The 21891-nt window shown below is 45.3% G+C and overlaps 1 long non-coding RNA gene across 2 annotated transcripts in view, besides 2 other annotated features; it reads right to left on the bottom strand.

Moving 5' to 3' along the window:
* LOC105377732 (uncharacterized) overlaps positions 1-21891 on the bottom strand; it is a 139446-nt gene that overhangs the window by 54678 nt on the left and 62877 nt on the right. Inside the window, exons 4-7 of one of the 2 annotated variants that reach the window (XR_007059057.1) lie at positions 18206-18681; positions 5817-6172; positions 2408-2502; positions 39-287 (exon numbers count right to left, since the gene is read on the bottom strand). This is a non-coding gene — a long non-coding RNA (uncharacterized LOC105377732). The remainder of the gene's footprint in view (positions 1-38; positions 288-2407; positions 2503-5816; positions 6173-18205; positions 18682-21891) is intronic. The other variant, XR_001743001.1, reaches the window with a different exon arrangement.
* Positions 111-380: a silencer, noted in NCBI's record as "fragment chr5:172896379-172896648 (GRCh37/hg19 assembly coordinates)". NCBI's record gives its function as "represses an EF-1alpha promoter that drives an FKBP-Casp9 reporter gene in an ReSE screen in HepG2 liver carcinoma cells {active_cell/tissue: HepG2}" and the evidence as "EXISTENCE:reporter gene assay evidence [ECO:0000049][PMID:32094911]".
* Positions 13780-14979: an enhancer, noted in NCBI's record as "P300/CBP strongly-dependent group 1 enhancer chr5:172881780-172882979 (GRCh37/hg19 assembly coordinates)". NCBI's record gives its function as "activates an origin of replication core promoter dependent on BRD2, BRD4, P300/CBP, MED14 and CDK7 cofactors, with strong dependence on P300/CBP, by STARR-seq in HCT116 cells {active_cell/tissue: HCT116}" and the evidence as "EXISTENCE:reporter gene assay evidence [ECO:0000049][PMID:35650434]".

Here is a 21891-nt window from a genome sequence, read left to right as displayed (position 1 = left end):
CCCATTAGTTAAATCAGCCTAGCCATGAATCGTTTCACCTGGAAAAGCTCCCCCTGGTCTCAGAGCGGTTCTGCAGGGTCAGTAGCTCCTCAAGATCCTCAAGCTCTGTCCTGTCAGTGACAGCTGTTGAGGAGCATGGTGGTGGCCCCCGAGAAGGGCTGCAGGTGGAAATTCGGTGGCAGTGGCCCCATCAGCTTCTTTATGTCCCAGTCATCTGCTGCGTGAAGAGAGGGTGGGGTGGATGTGGGCCAATTGCACCACAACTCGAAGCCTGAACCCTGCTGTCTCTGTGGATGGAAGAGGGAAACATTGTCGCTGTGTATGAAGAAACCGGATATATATCTCCCATGATTGCTGGGAAAAATCACCCAGAGGCGTATAGCTTCCCATGAAAGCCAAACCAAAACCAAATAAAACAGTGAAATTGCATCCCAATGTTTCATTTATGCAAACTGCATAATTTTCCTCTAACTGGACATCCACTAGGATTTTCCCAATTTCTTTTAGTTGCCCAGTCTAGAATGTGATTTCATTGCTACTTGGAGACATTCCACAAAGACACAGAAACAAAGTAGCAGTGGGTGGAGATTTCCATGACCCACAGAATGGATTTCCCAGTTGAACACGAGTAATGAATACCATTTATTAAGCAAGTATGACATACACCGCAGGCACTGTGCTCGGTACTGTATGTTTACTATCTAATTCCTATCTCAGTCCTGAATGTGGCTTCCTTACATAGGTGTCATGGTTTCAGATGAAGAAACAGAGGCTGGGATCAGGTGACTGCATGTCACAAGACAGAAATTGCACAGCTAGTAGGTGCCAGAACTAGGATTCAAGCCCAGGCTGTCTGACTCCCACACTCACACTTCGCCTGACCTTCATCACATCCCCATCCCAGGCATTAGAGGTGCAGGATCTTGGTGCCATCCCCAGCCCACCTTCTGGAGGGTCCTTTCAGTCCACATCCCTGGGCCTGGGCCTGAGCCACTCCATCTCTCACCCCTTCTCCTCAGCCTGATGTGTGCTCCTGCCTTCCTCCTCCTCCCGCTGAATTCATTTCTGTCCTTCTACAGCCAGGGCATATATTTTGTCCTCCAAGAAGCCTTCCCAGCCTTCATCCATGTGACCACCCCTTTCTCTGATCTCCCATGTAAAGGTGGTGACATAGAACTTGACCTTCGACTATCAGCAGATGATAGTCAAAGGAATCATTTGACTAACAGGAATGTTTTCACCCTGTCTATTCCCACCCAAGTGGGTGCTGGGGTGCACAGCCACCATCCCTCTGGATGTCAAGACCCCCACTCCCTATCTCCAGGTGGTCTTTGAGAGAATAGGGTGTGTCCACCAGCTGAATGGGACTTGGCAAAGTCTCCAATGCCATTCTAATGGGTGCCATTCTGTTGGTGATCCACAAGTGACCATTAGGCCATATGCTGAAGTGACCACAACAAGGAGCTTTCAAGGGTGCCCTGGCCGTGGGACATCCCTAGATGTCAGCACAGCCCTGGGGGCATGGGCTCAGCTCCAGGTCTCTTGAAGCTGACCTTCTCCTCTCTGCCCAGACACCCCATCAGGTCTCCCTGTCCCATGCTCGGCCCTCCCAGATGGGAGGCCTTCCCACAGTCTGGAGTCGGGAGAGGCCTGGGAGGCTCTTCCCTGATTCTTGTTCTAATCCTAATGTTGCAGAAGAAGCTGTGCCATTTCCCCTCAAGTCCCCACTTGTGATCCACAGAGGCCTGTTTTGGTTGTCTCATCACTGGATGTAGATGCAGGCAAGAGAGCAGGCAGTTAAAACCAGGTTCTAAAACCAGCCCCTCTCATTACATTCTAACTATGTAAACTCAGTCCAGGTCCTCAAAGTGGCTATGGTGTGAAGAGTGAGTTCACACACACACAACCCTCAGAGCAGGGTTTGGCACGTGTAAAGCACTCCATAAATGCTGGCTGCAGTTATTACTTCTTGCTCTTTTTATGCCCACAGTTAAAACCTGACTTCTAAAATAAAACAGAGGCAGCTTCGGAAAGTTACAGTCTCCCGACAGCATCCACCAAGGAGGAGTAGATGCCCACTTAAGACCCCAGGCTGCATGCAGGGGCCAGGGAGGAACAGAGAGAAACCCCAGGGGCTCAGAGAGATCTCCAACTCACACAGCCATGGAACTAGGACAACCATGTTTAATCAGATCTCCAGGTCGCACAGGACCCCACCTACCATCTGAGATCCATCACCATTACCTCCTGGAGCTTCATTTCGTTATACGGAAAATGGGGATTGAAACAATACCGCCCTCGAGGAGTGGCTGTGAAAATGAGCTGGATTAACACAGGTAAAGATCTGGAAGAGCACCTGCACATAATCCTCCCCAAATGCTGGCGCCTGCTGTTACCTGGGTCTTACCTGTTTTATTCTTTGTGCTTTTCTGCACTCCCCATTTGTCTGTGATGGACATGTACTACTTTTATGACTTGGAAAACATGGGAAGGTGACATGTTCTAAAATAATAATAATGATTAAAGATAGAATATCAGTGCCAAAGGGTTTAAATAAGGAAGTATGTCCAGTTGAACGTAATTCAGGGTGGGCTTCATAGAGGCAGCAGCACTTGAGATGGGTTTTCAACCATGGGTCAATTCTTGTTAGGCAGTAAGGGGTTTTCAGTGAGTGCTAAGGCTCCCAGGTGTACCACTGTGAGCCAAGGAACAGGGAAACTGCTGCTAATTAATGGAGAGTGAGGAGAAAAAGGTCAGCCACATTGGTGGAAGAGACAAGAAGAAGGACAATCAAGGCCACGTCTCCACAATGCCTGTTTTCTGGGCAATAAGGAGGGCAGAGAAAGTAGACATCTTCTTTTAAAAAGAGGGAACTTTTCTTATTACTAATCTAGGCTTAGAATTGGTGCTAGAAAACATGAACTGATTATTTACAAGAGAAGAAATGAAAAATGACCACTAAAACCATGGGGAAGATGGTGAAAATGATCAGGTAAAACCAGCAATACACACAAGGATGCTTAGAGGCAGAAAGAGGAAAGCCATCAAGATTTATTCTCACATCCTCAGAAACAACAGAATCAAATTCAACCCTTCCCAAGACAATACAGAGTAGCACATTTTCCTGTGTCACCTCCCCAAGGCCCTCCACTACATGAGATTCAATGACAACAAGGCCCCCACTCCACTCACCTCTTTGTGGAATATACCACCTCCCGGGCACTGGGGGCACAATGCTCCCTTCTCTGTGGATAAGCCTTACCTGGGCCAGAGGACATGAGCATGTGCATGTGCTCTGTCTTTACAGAAGCATCAGAGTCTGGGGAAAGGATCAAACCAAGCCAGCTGGTGCAGACAAGGAAGTTCACAGGGAAATTTAGAGCAAACACATTCCTACTTTCACCATTCTTTAACAGCACATTCAATTATATGTCTGCAAATCAACAAGCAGTGCTATGGTATGTCAGGGTTGAGTATGAGTCCCACTTCTGCCACCCCAAGTGTAACTCCAGGCAAGGATCCTGCCTCCCTAGAGCATGAGGTCCTTCATGCAGTGTATAGACATTGTCAGGCAGTTGGGATCATTAAAAAGAGTACACACATGGCCAAAGTCAGCCCTCCATAAGGACCAGTTATGTATATTATCCAAAAGCCAGAGAGACAAGCGTGACAAGCGTTGCTGTCTTCTTGGCTGAAGCGCAAAGGCTTAAACTGGGTGTGATGCTGAAGTCCTTAGTTCCTCTGATTCTCCACTACCAAGTACTCCTGTCCAGGAATAAGCTTTCAAGTTGTAAAAGTCACGTTCTTCTAAGTCACACAACAGGATCAGGTGGTTAAGTGGAGAGCTGGGCGCACACAGAGCAGTGGGGCTGGTGGGCCAAGTGTGGAACCTGGCTCCTTCGGAAACCTGAGGCAGATTTTGTGGTCACTCTTTGGTGCTAGGCAAGGATAAAAGACCTCGGATATCTGCCTGCAGCTTTAGACCAAGAAAGGGACAAACATGCCTGCTTCAGGGTAATTAACAGGAGATTTGGAAGGCTTCAGGCTCAATTAACTCATTCTAGATGAAGCATGGATAATGGAGGAAAATGATGCCAATTATCCCAAACATCTGAGACCACGCCTAGTTCTTCCTTCCCTGCTCCCCATCTTTCAGGTCACAAAATAAGCATAAGAGCCTTACATTTATGTACCAGCCATTTGATTTGGGAACTAAAAAGCTGCTTCTGCTGGCTCAAATAAGGAGCCCCAGTATCTCACCTGAATCCTTCTTGACTCAACAACCGTCCAGAAAACACGGCCTGCAACATGTCTTTGTTTTGCTCATCTTCTTGCACAAAATCACATACTGGGCAAGGCAGCAAGGGCTAAACTTCTGAACCAACTTCTCCCTTTGTTTCACCATGTAAAATCCCACTGAAGTAGCACCAGTATATTCCACAGTCTCTGCTTACTCATGTCTTCATTTAGCAAAAGCTACTTACACTGTTAAGTTGCTTTGATATCCAACAGAGAAGAGTAAATAAGCCATTTACACAAAACAAAGGTGGCATTAGCCAAGGATGGCCACAGCTAGTGGTGGTCAAGAACTGTGCATGTCCTACTCCAGACTAGTCTAAGGGGATGGTGCAGAATTTGCTGGAAGCTCAGAAAATACACGTTTAGGATAAATAAAAGAAAGCATGCCTTCTCATAGCAAGTAGATGGCTCATGGTGGAAACATGTCATGATTTTTAAATGCTTAAATAAATTCATGGATGTCAGATCCAAAAGGGTTTGTGAGAGGAAACTAGAACAGACAGTGTGTTTATAAATTAGCAGAACAAATAACATGAATCGGCTTCCCTCTCCCCTAGAACCATATCGCCATGGCAAAGTTAGGAAGCATTCCTGACCATCGACTTGGCAATAATTAAATCATAAATACAATTCTTAATAAATCAAGAAAGCAAAGATATCACAACCTCTAACCTTGATAACAGTGTACTGTGATAAGAATTTACCTTATGTCTCTGACAAAATGGACATTGTCTCACCAATATTAATCATACAAAGGGTCCCATTTTCCTATAAAGCATACCATAAGTAAAAAATAGAATGTAACTCTACCACCAGCTTGACCTAAAGCAGGTATGTTAGCTATAATATGTTAGCTATAGCACACATTACATTAGCACCAGCTTGACCTTCCTTCTTAAAATGTAGATTTTAGAGGAATAATTTCAACAATCCTGGTCTTTTTTGAAGGTGGGACAAGGAAAACTGAATGGATGCCCTCATTTTCCTTTGATAAATTGTCCTGCAACACAGAGGTGTTATTCAGCCTCAGTGCCCTGCCTCAGAGCCCTGCTCCTGCTCGTAGGTGGATCATGAGGCCCCACCTTGATGGTGGTGTGGTTGCCAGTGGCCACGTCTCCCCTTCTCCTTAGAAATCCCCTTGCAGCCCAGGTGCGGTGGCTCATGCCTGTAATTCCAGCACTTTGGGAGGCCGAGGCAGGTGGATCATTTGAGGTCAGGAGTTGGAGACCAGCCTGGCCAACATGGCGAAATTCTGTGTCTTCTAAAAATACAAAAATTACCCGGGCGTGGTGGCGCATGCCTGCAGTCCCAGCTACTCTGGAGGCTGAGGCAGAAGAATCGGTTGAACCCAGGAGGCAGGGGTTGTAGTAAGCTGAAATTGCCCCACTGCACTCCAGCCCGGGCAACAGAATAAAACTGTCTAAAGAAAAAAAAAAAAAAAAGACAAGAAAAGAAAAAAGGAATCCCCTTGCAATGGCCCAGCCTTAGTAGGGGTGCTTCCAAAGCCGGACACTCACTGCAAGGCAGCTCTGGCTATGGAGGGAGATATCTCAATATCTCATTCCCTCTAATTCGAATTCCACTTTCTTGCGGTCAAGGAAATTAATCTTCCTTTTATAGGCTAGGTTATGCCAATTAAAATGCCTTGAGCTTCAAGAAAAAGAAAAGCCAATTCAAAACGGATTCAACAACATGGAGATTCACAGACTTGCCCAAGAGGAAGTCCCAAGGTGGGGTGGGCTTGTGGGTAAGGATGGCTCTAATGGCTCAGCAACGTCCCTGGCAACTCAGTCTTCCCATCTCCTGAGGCTGGTGCCTTTGTGGTCCCACAACGGCTGCCAACAGTCAGCAAGGATATCTGCTTTCTTGTTCACTGTTGGGGAGAGGGGATAGATTGAGACAAATAATGCCTTCCTGAACCTCCTCATCAAAAGCAGACTGACTTTCCTAAAAGCCCCTACCCAACGTCTCCCTGCATCTCATTGGCCTGAACTGTCTTAGAGCTGCCCATCTCTCATCCAATCACAGAGGCAAGGGAGATGGGCCTTCTCTGATCGACTTAGCTGTAGACCAACCATGGCCCATCCAAGCTGAAGGTCAATCTGCCTAACCCTTACCCAATAGGAGGCAGGTATGGTGAATGTTAGCAGGGTCGCCTCATGTCCACTCCCTGGCTCTTTCCCTTTCCTGATTGGAAAGTCAAGCCCTTCCTTGCTCCCTCTTAGGCAAGATCCCTGAGTCTTTTCTGGCTTTGCTGCCTTCCCTAGCCTCAGTGCTTCGGGGCGCTAATCTGTACAGGGGAGCCAGCTTGCTGGGCTTCCAGGAACACTGGCTAAGCCTGACTTGTGGCTTTTGCAGTCTTGTCAAGCTGGGGGCTTATACTGGACACATACCATGAGCTTCAGTGGATCTTTTTTTTTTTTTTTTTTTTTTTTTTTTTTTTTTTTTTTGAGACGGAGTCTCGCTCTGTCGCCCAGGCTGGAGTGCAGTGGCGGGATCTCGGCTCACTGCAAGCTCCGCCTCCCGGGTTCACGCCATTCTCCTGCCTCAGCCTCCCAAGTAGCTGGGACTACAGGCGCCCGCCACTACGCCCGGCTAATTTTTTGTATTTTTAGTAGAGACGGGGTTTCACCATTTTAGCCGGGATGGTCTCGATCTCCTGACCTCGTGATCCGCCCGCCTCGGCCTCCCAAAGTGCTGGGATTACAGGCGTGAGCCACCGCGCCCGGCCGCTTCAGTGGATCTTGAGTTTGGATTCTCACTCTACTATTTACTGGATGTGTCACACTGAGCAGGCTATTTCACCACCTTCACCCTCAGTTTTCCTCATCTATAAAAATAGGAATAATAATAGTAACTATTATATTGGGTTGTTTCAAAGAAAAAAACCATATAAGGTCTGAGTCTACTTCATGGTACTCAAGATCCTCGTAGATCTTGATATTATCATTAATAATAATAAACGTGTTCTCTTCCATCTCATACCGATACCAACCTCCAATTGCACAGGGAAGTACAGGCTGTCTGCTTCTCCTTCACTCACACCAGATTGGGAAACATGACTATTGTCACCAGCAGACACCCATTTGTGCAGAAGGCCCCACACTCTCTACAGGAGACACTTGTTCTCTGCCTTTCCAGAGGCCCCACCACCACCTGCTCAGCCATCGCCCACCCCCAGAGTCTGAATATGTAATACAACTAAGCAAAACAGCTCTTACACAACAGAAATTCCCATTTGCGGTAACTGTGTGCCTTTTTTCTGCCCACTTCAGTTGATACTTTGGGCTTCAGTTGATACTTTTGTACTCAAATGTACCAAAGCAATTTGTGCAGTACTAAAGTTAATTGTAAGAAACAATATCAGAGCTGCTGGAAAGATGATTTCAATATTAACCATACATCTTGTAAAATACATGATGTCCTCAGGAGCCAAAAAAGAAAAATAACTACTACACTATCATTGTTTGCAAGTGTTTCTATGTAATATAAGCTCTTCAGCCTGCAGTGAGAAGTCATGGAAACAATTACCAATATTAATATTTTTAAGTGGTTTTAAGAAGTTTGCCAAGATAGGGATGAGAGGGAAGACTGAATGGCCAGCTACAGTTTCCTTCTTAGGGTGAAAGCCAGTGAAGAAGGGGGGTCCTGTCCCAGATCTTAACAACTTCCTTCTCTCCCCTAGGCTACAAATTCCTGGTACTTGGGGGCTTTCTTGAGCCTCTACCCTCCAATCTGTCCAGCACCCTCTTGCCTTGGCCTGGTCCTATGGGATCTAGCCAGTTGCCCTGACTTCATCTCTTTCTGCCTAGCCCTTGGACTTACCCAGACTGGCTGCCTGGCTGTCAGCTTTGCTCTCCCAGCTCACCCTTGGCCCCATGCTCAGCAGCCCTTGATCAGGCCTCTCTGAACCATGCACTCAGCCCAGTCCTTCCCTGACCACCTGCCTCTCCAGCAGGGGAGTCCAGACAGTAAGAGTGGAGACCATCCCCTTACACACTGAGTGGAGCAATTCCTGAAGGGCTTGGGGTGCATAGCTCAACCTTGATTTTGACCTCAAGGAGGAAACTCAAGCTGTTGCAAAGATATCTCCCTTATCATTACCATCAGAGACAGAAAAGGCTAAATGGGTCATGAAGCTAATTCTGTGCAGGGAGCCAGACACTAATGAGCTCTCACGAAGGCAACACGGGATAGATTAGACTCCCATTTCTTCTCTCTTCTCTCTTCCATGTGGCCTTGCAGAGCAGGAGACACAGAATAACCACCCCAGATGCAAACTGGCAATGGGTTTGGCTATGTGTTTTGTTGGGCCAAAAGAATATTAGCAAATGCAATGTGGGCCAGGGCTCTTCAAGGGTAGAAGAGTTCACAGTTTGGTTTGCCCCTTTAACTCCTATGATCTGCTATGAGAAATGCATGTCCCAAGTATGCACCTGCTCCAAAGAGCTCTGGAGCTCTTGGTTGGCCAGTCCCAACCAAGACACAATCAAACCTGGACCCATGAACAAGAAAATAAATGTTTGTAGCTATTTGTATACAATAAAAAAACAAAATGGAAAACCACTGCCCAAGAACACCATCAATAACATTCTGACCACAGAGCATCTCAATGCCTCAAACCAAGAGGTATCTGCAGGACAGGAGAAGAGTGGTCACTCCATCAACAACCCCACAACACTTTGCAAAGATAACAGACCAAGGAAAGAAAGCAATCAGAATCCTCCAGGGGACCTGGCTTCTGCCTTCCTTCACAGGCCCCATGGTGTGAACAGCTGTGTGTTTGTTGCCCTGCACCCCTTCTTTGGGGACCATCTCCCAGGCTTTCCCTGGGGAGCCACCCCACCCTATCAGTCCCTGTGGGCTTATGGTCCTGGCCTGGCCATTCAGCATACATATTCCATTACCCTGGCCACAGTGAGTGGTTTAGGATAGACACATGACCCAGGCCAGACCCAAAGCGCCAACCATGGGACTTTTGGAAGGAAAGAGGAGCTCTCTTATTGGTAAGATACAGGCCTGGAACTGCTATAGCCACCACCAATGGACAGACTGCCCAAGAATGAAACAAGCACAGAAGAAAGCCAGGGCTAAAAAATGGAAAGACCAGCCTGGGCAACATAGAGACCTCATTTCTATTAAAAGTAAAAAAAAAAATCAGTTTGGTGTGTGTGTGCCTGTAGTCCCAGCTACTCAGGAGGCTGAGGTGGGAGGATCGCTTGAGCTGGGGAGGTCGAGGCTGCAGTGAGCCCCAATCACGCCACTGGACTCCAGCCTGAGCAAAAGAGCAAGACCCTGTCTCAAAAGAAAACAAAAAGATGGAAAGAGACAGATGCCTAAAGACTTTGTATGAGTACCTGATGAGTACCTGGATCCAGCTATGCCTGAATTTAGCAATATCCTGAACACTTCAGGTGTGTGAGCCAGTACATTTCTGTGTCTTCAGCCAGTTGAGTTGGGTTCTTTCCCTCCCCCACTGAAAGAGACTTGATGGAGATGCTTCCTTGTTAGCCACACTGTGCAGTTGCCCCTTTCCATCCTTCCATTGTTGAGGTTTAAATTTAATGTGAAGAAAAGGCATAGAATTTTCATGCTCCTCCACTGGCATTTCTGTTGCTGGCCTCTGCCATTTTGTTAGGCCAGTGATTCCAAACATTTTAGAGTAGCAAAGCCCATCATTGTTGGTCAGGAATATTGCATAGCATGTATTTATTACCCACGCTCTTATTATAGTCTCAGCAAGTGGTTAACCTTTCATTTTTCTTGGGAAAAAATGAGCATGTCACTCCCTCATTTCTCTGCCTCTCTCAGGATTCAGAGATATGACAAAGTTAAATTGGGTATTTCTGAACTTTACAAAGTTAAAAACAAATCAGCTCATCCCCCTTCCCAAAAAAATTATCTTGTCACAGAGGGCCCTCTTCCCTCCAACGTGTTCCAAAGCAATAGCACAAATGCACGCATCTGGCCAAATGCCATCGGCTGCTGTCTGAGGGCCATCTGAAAAGCAGCCTCTTCTTCCGGCCACCCCATCCCCAGCTGTCAGGGATCCCCACTTGGAGTCCTCATGCTCCTGAAATGATATGTCCAGGGCAGATGTCGCAGGGCTCACGTCAGGCACGAAGGCAGTGCTCCCCTGCTCAGCTGTCATGGCCGATTGAGACACAGTCCCAACCCAGGGCTCCCTCAGAGAGCCACCAAGACTGGACTGAGCTTCCCCCACAGAGATGCTGCTGACACGCCAGGGGTGCATCCTGGCTCTCCAGACTGGCAATGCTGATTCTAATGAAGTCACAGCCTTCACTGTTGTTCCTTTTTTAAATAATTGGGGTGAAATGCACATATCATAAAATTGAACCTCTTAACCATTTTGAAGTGTACAGTCCAGTAGCATTAAGTACAGTCATACTGTTGTGCAACCATCACCACCATCCATCCCCAGAAAATGTTTCATCTTGCAAAACTGAAACTCTATATCCATTAAACAATACTCCCCCATTTCCTCCTCCTCCCAGTCCCCGGCAACTACCATTCTACTTCTGTCTCTATGAATTTGGCTACTCTAGAGGCCCTCCTATAAGTGGAATTAGACAGTATTTGTCCTTTTGCATCTGACTTATTTCACATAGCACAATGTCCTCAAGATTCATCTATGTTGTAGTATGTGTCAGAATTTTCTTCCTTTTTAAGGCCGAATAATATTCCATTGTATGTCTATAGCATATTTTGCTTATTCATTCATCTATCGACGGACACTTGGTTGCTTCCACCTTTTGGCTATTGCGAATAATGCTGCTGTGAACAGAGGTGTACAAATATCTCTTCAAGACCATGCTTCCAATTATTTTGGGCATATTCCCAAAAGTAGAATAGCAATAACACAGTAATTCTTTTTTTTTTTTTTTTTTTTTTTTTTGAGATAGAGTCTCACTCTGTCACCCAGGCTGGAGTGCAGTGGCGCAGTCTCGGGTCACTGCAACCTCCATCTCCCAGGTTCAAGCAATTCTCCTGCCTCAGTCTCCCAAGTAGCTGGGACTACAGGCATGCGCCACCACGTCCAGCAAATTTTTGTATTTTTAGTAGAGACAGGGTTTCACCATGTTGGTCAGGCTGGTCTCCATCTCTTGACCTCATGATCTGCCTGCCTCGGCCTCCCAAAGTGCTGGGATTACAGGCGTGAGCCATTGCACCCGGCCTATCACACAGTAATTCTATGTATAATTTTTTTTGAAAAACCTCCATGCTTTTTTCCACAGTGGCATTTTACACTCCCACCAGCAGTGCACAGAGATTCCAGTTTTTCTACATGCTTACCAACACTAGTTATTTTCTGGGTTTTTGACAGTAGCCACCCTAATGGGTGTGAGGCAATATCTCATTATGGTTTTGACTTTTACTGTTACTCTTATTGTAACAGTCACTACTATAACTTTCTCATGTTGTACCAAGTTTGGTCTTTTAATAGTTAAGAGATGGGCTTCCTTCACTTCGAAGATAAATGATCCTTGGTGTCTAAACAACTTACTACAAAAGGCCAAAGTTCTTTTAAGAGAGATATTCTAAGGCTAAGTTACAGGGGCCCAAAGATCCTAAGTGATTAGCCCCATCCTCCCCTTTTCCAAAAAGGAAACAGAGGTCCCAGAGGGATCATGCAGTGGTTAAGAAATATGAACTGGGCAAATCTCGCTTGAAAACCTGGCTCTGCCACTCACGAGTTGCAGGACCATGGAGCTGTCTCTCAGCCCCTCTACACTTGGCTTCTTTTCACAGCGCAGTGGATAGGAACAGTGTCTCTCTTACAAGGTTGCTGCGAGAGTTAAGCTGTGTGCCAAATGCAGTGCCTGCCACAGGACAAGGGCTTGGTAAATTCCAGCAGCTCTTACGGTTGTTGCCTTCTTATTCTTATGAAATAAGTTGCCCAAGTCCCATGCCTAGTGAATTGGTTTCTTGATTCCCAGTGTTTGCCCTGGCCATGATGGTTCTTAACCCCACTTTCCCCAATGTCTATGCTCACCTTAAACAACTCTGGCTGTTACTTACTGTAACTGATGGCCTGGTTTCTAAAATGTACACTGAACTCATTCCCTCAATGGTACATTGAGTCAATCCAGCACAGGAAGAGAGAGGATCGGCTGCTGCAAATTCTGAAAGGTCCACAGTAGCAGAAGGCAAAGTGACAAATGACAGAGGTAGGGAAGGGTCTCATAAAACCTTTGACCTCAAGGAAGTTCACATGATCTGAAATGATGCTGCTCCCACATTCCTGGGGAGTTGCTTCCTCTTTGCATCGATTCCGTCATGCATTTCTCTGATATTTTACAGCTTACAAAGATTCCCTCCATTGATAAACAGTTGTTGAGAACCTACTCTGATTGAGCACGATGTGCCAAGTGCCAGAGTCACAGCCAAGAGCAATGCCAGAGGGTCTGGGGAAGGAGACAGACATGATTCGGAAAGTGACACCAACCAGTGGAAAACCGCAACTGTGCTAAGGGCAAGGAAGGAGGGAAGCAGGTGCCCTGAGAACCCACAAGAGGGGCTCTCAGCTGAGCTCTAACAGATGAGTCACAGGAAGTGTTCACAAAGTAGCATATAAAATAGACATTTATTTTGTGCTTCACTCCTCTCTGTCTGTGGGTCTTGAACATTTGCTGTGTGTAGATCCTTCACCAACCCTGCTGTACTTAAGGCTCAGGCATTTGATGAACTCAGGGGATTATGGAAAGCACGCAACTTGTCCATTAAAAGGACAGTGGGCAAATCAAGTGTAGTTTCTCCCAACTGCAGAATACTATGCAGCTGTTAAGAGGAATTAAATACACCTGCACAGGCTACTGTGAAAAGATTAGCACAATAAATTAGAAAGTGAAGAATTCCTGGTGTAGAAAAGTATTAGTAAATGATTCATTTATGTAAGGAAGAAAATCATATACACAAATATGGGTATAGTCAGACTCTTTTTTTGGAGGGACACAAGAAATTACTTATGTTAGTTTGTTAGGGCTGCCATAATAAAGTACCACACATTGAATGGCTTAAACAGCTGAAACATATTTTCTAGCAGCTCTGAAAACTTGAAGTCTGAGATCAATGTGTTGGCAGGGGTGGCTCCTTCCGGGAACCCTGAGGGGGGAATCTGTTCCACTCCGCTCTCTTTGGCTTGTACATGGCCATCTTCTTCCTATGTCTCTTTACACTGTCTTCCCTCTATGTAAGTCTCTGTGTCCAAATTTCCCGTTTCGATAAGAATATCAGTCATACAGGATTAGGGCTCATCTTAATGACCTTATTTTAACTTGATGACCTCTGTAAAGACCCTATCTCCAAATAAGGTCACATTCTGAGGTTCAGGGGGGTTAGGACGTCAACATATGAACTTGAGTAGGGGACACAATTCAACCCATGGCATTGCTGGGAGACAAAAGGGATTCATCTTTTACTTCATATATTCCTCTATAGTATTTATACTTTTATGATAAGCATACATTTCAATTACAAAAACAACTTTTAGTCCAAAAAGTGGGTGGAAATTTAAATCCTGCCACAAATCAAGCACCAAGTGAAAACATTGGGGTTGTATATTGTAGGTCAAAGTGACCTGTTTCTATATCTGAAACAAGAGGCACACCCTCCATTAAGGCCTCCAAGCGGGAGTGTGTATGTCCAAGAAAGGGAACCTGACCATCACTGGTCTTGCACACTTCTAGATATTTTTATTTTCTTTTAATTTCTATTTTGTTTTATATTGCGTGTGGAGGGGTACATACTTAAAACTTTCTACTTGGGGTTTGCCTTCTAAATAGCGTGCATGGCAAAGGCCTTGGGAGCACCTTTCACGAAGCTTAATATTTTCATAAGCAAAGAAAAGGACCTAGTCCGTGACTGCGTATGAGTCACGTTAGTTTGGTTTTCTTCAAAGGCTGACTACTCCAGTTGCTATCTCTGTGTGACACAGTGTCTTAGGATGACTATGTTATTTTGCTCATGATTTCATAGATCAGGAATTCAAGAAGGGATTAGCTGAGTGGTTCTTGCCGGGGGTCTCTTATTTGTTGCAGTGAGATGTTGGCTGAGCCTGGAGTCATCTGCAGGCTTGGCTGGGCTGCACGTCCCAGATGATCCTCTCACATGACTGATGGTCACTGGTTATCTGCTGAGTTCTCAGCAGAGATGCCAGAGCACCTACACGTGGCAATCTCAGGGCATCTAATGTCTTAAACGGTGGCTGACTTCTCCCAGAGGGAGTGTCCCTGAATACTTGGCAGAAGCCGCACGGCCTTTTCTGATCCAACCTCAAAAATTAAGGCATCACTATTGCTGGACTGATTGCAAGCCAGTTACATTCAAGGCTCAGATCCAAGGGGAGGGAACCAGGCAGAAACTCAATGCTTTTCCTGACCTAGCTTCAGAAAGAGCAGAGTGTATTAGTTATCTATCACTGCATAACAAATTCTCTCAAAGCTTAACAGCTTAAAACAACAAACCTTTAGGACTGTACAGTGTCTATGGGCCAGGAATTCAGAAGTGCCTCTGCAGGCTGCCTCTGACTCAAGGCCTCTTGTGAGATTGCAGTCAATATATCAGCAAGGGCTACAATTATCTGAAGGTTTGGCTGGTGCTGGAAGATCTAATTCCAAGATACTCGGTCACATGGCTATTGGCAGGAAGCTTCTGTTCCTCAGGGTTGTTGACAAAAGGCCTTAGTTCTTCACTGTATGGGCCCTTCCATGTGTTGCCTGAGTATCCTAAAAGCATGGCAGCCAGTTTCCCCAAGAACCGAGTGAGACAGAGATAGAGAGAGAGAGATAGAGATAGAGAGAGAGAGCAGGAAGCTTCAGTGCCTTTTATAATCTAGTCTCTGAAGTCATACCCCATCATTTTCACTTAATTCTATTTGTTAGAAATGAGTCACCAAGGTCACACGCAAGGGAAACGGCATTAGGCTTCACATTTTGCAGCAAATGTCAAAGAGTTCTGACACCACCCACGACATCATCTCTGTTGCATCCTATTGGTTATAAGTGAGTCCCAGCACAGATTCAAGGGGAGAGGACATACATCCCACCTCCAGTGGGAGGAATGTCCAAGGATTTTCAGACAAGGACTTAGATACAGTGTCTTAGCTCAGATTTCTATAACAAACTGCCATAGGCTGGGCGACTTAAACAAGAGGAATTTATCTCTCACAGTCTGGAGGCTAGAAAAATCCAAGATCAAGGTGCTGGAAGATTCCTTTCCTGGCTTGCAAATAGCCACCTTCTTGCTATGTCCTCATCTGTCAGAGACAGTGTGCAGGCACTCTGGTATTTCTTCCTCTTTTCAGAAGGGCACTAATCCCATTATGGAGACCCTTACCCGCATGACCTCACATAACCCTAATTACCTCCCAAAGACCTCCCTTCCAAATACCGTCGCATGACGGGGAGGGTTAGCGTTTTCACATATGAGATGGGGGGAACATAAACACTCAGTCCATAACCTTCCATGCCGGGCCCTTCAAAATGTGTGTCCTTCTCACATTCAAAATTCATTCAATCCCAACAGCCCCAACAGACTTCACTGGTTCTAGCATCAACTCTAAAGTCCCAAGTCTCATCTAAATATCATAGAAGTCAGATATCTACATCATAAAGAGTTTATTCCAGGAGAAACAAAAGGGGAGAGTGAGACAAGGAAGGGAGAAGAGCCAGCAAGGGATAGATTACAGCTTGGAGCTCCGTCCTGCTGGGGGTTCTTCAGAATCCACGTGGAACATGGCTCAGCCTAGGCCCATTAGAGGATGGGGGACTGGGCAATTATCCATCTACTCTCATCCCCAACTAGTTGAGGTTTTCCCCTGGAAGCGTTAACACCCCCAGAGAAAGCCCTTAAGCAGCTGGAGATGGGACTCTGTCAGTGAATTGAAAACTGTTGCCCACTACCTCAAGTGAACTCAGGTAGCCCAGGGTGGATATAGAAAAAGCACCAACAGCATCTGCTATGGAATGTGAGATCAAGGAGTGCCTTCCAAAATAAATGTTTTTTATTGATCAGGTAAAGGGCTTGTGATAACAGGTCACTGTGACTCGGCAAACAGATTCTGTGATAGTCACATAGGCATGCAAAAATACTCACAGGTTCTCAGGCTATGGAAGACTCTGATTCACCCATTCAGTGAATATATACTCAACAGCTACCACAAGCCAAGAACCGTGCTAGGCTCTGGGGTTACAATAATGGACAAAACAGATGAGTTTTCCGACCTCACAGGGCTTATAGGCTAGAGGATTAGAGCGGCATTAATCAAATAATCACACAACATGATAAATACTAATTTGACAGCTGGTATGAAGGTGCATTTTCTGCAGAGAAGGCCCTTGACAGGGCTATAGAAGCCACCGTGTATGTTCCCCAGGGCATGGTGAGAAAGCAGTGGATGGTGTTGGAAGCAGTTTTGAGCATGTGCTGGGTAATACCTTCACAGAGAAGCTTCCTCGCCCTTTCAAGAAGTCTCTTGGGGAGATAGGGAGCTTTCTACTAGTTTGACAGAATGAGAATTTCTCTCTGAAGCTGGGCTTTTATAAGGAAGGGTCGATATCACTTCAGCATAGATCTAGTCATTGAAATAATAGTACTTGAAAGAAAGAAATACAACCAACACCCGAAGGATGGTGAATTGCAAAGAGAAACAAGTCTGGGTTTTCTTGATGACATTGCTGAGCTTTTTCGCTAGCCTTAGTCTCCTCACCCTCGAACTTCTTGTGATGTGAGCTCATTAAAAGTCTTTATTGCTTCATCCACTCTAAATCAAGTTTTCAGTTACTTGCAACCAAAAACATCCCTGACACACCATATATTTCATATTTTTCCACAGTTCTTCATGAGAACTCTTATTGTTCCCATGCTAGGTGAAGGAAACTGATACCCATATAAGTGAACTATCCAAGGTCACACAATGAATAAAGCTGGAATTGGGATGCAGGCCTTCTCATTGCAGCTCCTCTGAATTTGCTCTAGTGCAGTATACTACAGCACAACACAACACAAGCCCCTTTTCTCCCCACTAGGTCTTTGCCACATGTTGTCACCTTACAGAGCTATTTTTAGTCCCCAGATGCCATGAGGCACGGGATTCCTAACTGCCACCTCCTAGCTCAGTGCCATTGACATGATGTGTCAGCGTAGTGGCCTTTCCTGTAATTGCGCAAGTCCAGAGTTTCCACGGACATCCTTTTTGTTTTTTGCGTCCTTGCCTTGACAATTTGTACTGCTCTCTTCCTCCTTTGGCCATTCTTGTTTAACTGTTTCCCTAGAACTTTTATTATGTCACCACATACACACATTCTTGCAATATTTAAAAGAGTGGTTATGAAAATTGTGTGATAACATTAGGATATTACATGTTAAGTGCAAAGTAGGATACAAATTGCTTGCACAAAGATATGAAAAAACACATATGCACATTAAAAATTAAAACAAAAACACTAGAATGTTTGCTATGATTGTGGTGGTGTGGTGAGACGTGGGTAATTTTTTTTTTTTTTGATTTTCCAAATTTTCTGTTATGTGCATATAATGAAAAAAATAGGTTAGGATGTTTTTTAAAATATGTCATTGTTTATCTGGCCCATCTCCTGGGAGGCAGCATAGCAGAGCATGCTAGTTAACAGCGTGCACTCTGGAGCTTGATTGCCTGAGTTCAAATCCCAGCCCAACCACTTAATAGGTGCATAGCTCTCAGCAAGATCTGTAACTATTCTGTACCTCAGTTTACCCATCTGTAAAAGGGGCAATATCCCATCCACCTGTCTCATAAGGTGACTCTGAGGATCAAGTAAGTTAGCAATTGTAAAGCCCTTGGCATGGTGTCTAGTACAGGAAGAGTGTTATGTGTTTGTTGAATATAAGCCATTTTATTGTGCCTTACCCATTGTGGAGCTTCTTGGAAGGGACTGTGATGCAGAAGTGAGACAGACCTCTGTGTTTTTCAGATGGACACAACTGGTGAAAGTGCAAAGAGATGACTTGTGCTCAACATGAAGACTCTTTTAACCTCAGAGTCAAGCAGGCTGGAGAGGAGCTCCTTAGCAATTCACCACTGGATGGTTGTGTCACAGACTCCTCGGATACTTGACATCTCATGAAGCATCCTCACATAAGGCCACTGGCAGAAATCAAGTGAAGGGAAGACGACCAAACCTCCACCAGTATAGAGAGGCCCCTAACAGGCCTTCCTCCACTGAAATAGGATGAAGTCCTCTAGTGGCCAGGGGGTGACAATACAACTCCTCTTCCAAGTCCTTACACAGGATGCCCCTCCGTTGCTGGCGACCTCTAGTTGGGTTTGTTTTTGTCAAGCGTGTCAGGAGAGAATGCAGGGCTCCTTCTATCCCCTTGCTGAGACTGAAAGAGTCAAAATACATTTCCTAAGACCAAGTATCTGCATGTTTGTCGTATGAGCCCACTTTACAAAGCTGATCTCTAGAAAGGAGTCCCTCACTGGCACATTGGGTCATATGGGCCGCTTGTGTACACATGACCTCTGCTTGGAGGACAGGGCTTTCTCAAAAGGATGGCTTAGAATGTGTTTCAGATGGGTGGGACCTGAATCCAGCTCCTCTCATTTCAATCCCTTCACTTTGCAAATGGAGAAAATTCCCCGTTAATTCTAAATATTCCCCAGCAATTTTTAGACTAGTGTCTGGAACAGGGTGGGTGGATCATAAATACTTTATGGGAATTTGGTGTCACTTTCTGTCCTCTTGATGACTTTAGCAGTGGGCCTCATCAAAAGGCTCACTGATGATACATCAACGGCTCTGTCTTTCTCAACTTGGCACTGGTAAAATACCCAAGAACACAGAATGCTGCATTAGGAAGAATCCCCCTTTACTTTCATATTTTATATATTATCCGATGGCTGGGAGAAAGAGAAAAAACAGGTAGGAGAAGAAAGAAGAAACAGACAAAAAATAGAATAGTCTAGCTCAGGGTTCTGCAAAGGGGCGGTTGGTAAGGATTTTATGCTTTGCAGGTCATGCAATGCTGTCGTGACTACTCAACTCAGCCATTGTAACAGGAAAGCTGTAATAGATGACACGTAAATAAATTGGGTGTGGCTGGATTCCAAGAAAACCGTATTACAAAACAATCAGTGGGCTGGATGTGGCCTGCCCACCCCTCATCCAATGCAAGAATGATAACATTCCCCATCCTTCATACATGGCAGAAATGGTTAATCGATCGTGGTGTCAATTAACTGCCTGAGTTAAAAACCCTGTTCCAGGCCCTTAGTAAGTGTACACCTTCAGGAAATTTGCTCAATATTTCCAAGCTTCAGTTTTCTCATCTTTAAAATGGAGCTCATAATGCTGTGAACCTCAAAGAACTCCTGTGAGAATTGAGTAAGACTGTTGGAAGAAGCTTAGTATGGGTGACTTGTACTTAACAAGCACACTGTAAATGCCAGCTACCTTCATCATCATCTTTGTTGTCATCATCATCATCTGCCTCAATTGACTGACAGATGCACGAGCATTAAATGAGGTAAAGGACATGCAAGTGCCTTGAGATGACCCCGATTATGCAAATAAAAAGTATCTTTCACTGAAATGCTCAAATGCCTTACACTATCCCATCCACTTACTTCCCCTTGCTGAAGTGCCAGGGAAAGCTAGATATGTCCTTCTTGTGCTAATGGAATAGTTAGGGAAACCGAGGCACTTGAAAGCTCAGGAGAGTCACTAAAGGCAGCAACTTACTGACTTGGTGACTAAGCTGCATCTACAGCCAGGTTTCCACATTCTTTGCCCACTTTTCTGTCTCCTACCAGCATCTTTGAGTTCTGATTACCCTACTGGGTCCTGTTTGCTCAGGGATTTCAAATATCTCCAGGGAATAGATTCTACTTCTGAATTTTTTTTCCAGTCTGCTCCCCCCACCCTCCATTCTCCTGTCACCTCTACCTACTGATTGCTGGCTTTTATTATCGGCTGCCTAGTCTATTGTAGCTGCCCCCTAACAGGTCTCTTTGACTCAGATTTCTCTCCGTTGAACACCCACCATCTACCCTCATCCTGGGTGATCCTCCTAAAGCACAGATCTGACTCTCTGGCTAAAGGCCTGCACTTTAAAAATTGGATGAGACCTCTCACAATCTGACCCCCATTAGCCCACCAGTCACAGTTCTTATCCCTCCTATGTCCTTGTCCATCTGCAACGACCTTTAACTCCAGCTCCTGGGACATGCTCAACTTTTGCGCAGCTGCAGACATCCACCGAGCTCCGCATGCTCTTTGCCAGACAGCCCCTCTGCCACCACCACCACACACACACACCAGCACTTCTCATCTCAACACCACAGTCTAAGGAATCTTCAAGAGAAATTCCATCATGCCGTGGCCACCACCCAGAGTCCATGACTCCCAGCTATCCCCGTCACCTAGCCTTTCATGCCAAAAGATCTCTGTACATAACTTGCTGTGACTCAAGCCCACTACCATCCCCAGTCTCCTAGCCTCTCCACGGAGCCAGTGGCTTTCACTGTCCATATATAGCAAAGTTCTCTGTCTTCAGCCTCTTCTTCAGATCTCCCCTTCACCTTCTTGCCCTTAATCAAAGCCCAGTGGACTCCACTTCCTCTGCTACTTGCTTAAGGATGGCCATTCTCTCCCCCAAACTCCTGGTGTCACTGGCCTGGAGATGGAGGAGATGTCCTCCTGGCCACTTTCTGGCTTTTGTCTCTCCCACCTTCCTAGAAAGGCTCATGGACCTTGAACTTCATGCTACTGGGCCAGACCACCCAGCCCCTCCCCTGCCCCAACCATGGTGCACTCTTACCAACATAACAGTAATGTTTTAGAATGCTCATGACGAGCCAGGCTCCATTTCAAGCACTTTGCATTCATTAATTCATCTAAACCTCACAAAACCTCATGAGGTAGGTATGATTATCATCCTCACTTAACAAATAAGGAAACTGAGCTACACAGAGGTTAAGTCACTTGCCGAAAATCACAGGATAAGAGTCAAGCTCAGGGTATGTCAGAGAGATATCTGTGCCCCCATGTTCACTGCAGCACTGTTCACAATAGTCAAGACATGGGGTCAACCTAAGTGTGCACCAGAGGATGAGAGGATAAAGAAAATGGGGTACATATACACAATGGAACACTCTTCAACCTTACAAACGAAGAAACTCTGCCCTTTGTGACAACATGGATGAACCTAGAGGATATTATGTCAAGTGAAATAAGCCAGACGCAGAAAGTTAAATATGGCATAAACTCATTTATACAGAATTTTAAAAAGTTAAACTCAGAAGAAGAGAGTAGAATGGTGGTAACCAGAAGCTGTGGACAAGGGGTGGTCAAGGGGACAAAGTTTTCATTAGACAGGAGGAATAAGTTCAAGAGATATACTGTACAACATGATGATAGTTAATGTATTGTATTCTTTAAAATCACTAAGGGGGTAGATTTTAAGTGTTCTCACCACCAAAAAAAATGGTAAGTATGTGAGGTAATGCATATGTTAATTAGCTCAATTTAGCCATTCCACAATGTCTATGTATTTCAAAACATCATGTTGTACAGGAGGAATATATAAAATTTT

This window comes from Homo sapiens, chromosome 5 (genome assembly GCF_000001405.40).
Source record: "Homo sapiens chromosome 5, GRCh38.p14 Primary Assembly".
NCBI classification, from domain to species: Eukaryota; Metazoa; Chordata; class Mammalia; order Primates; family Hominidae; genus Homo; species Homo sapiens.
This window is presented reverse-complemented; position numbering and strand designations above follow the sequence as displayed.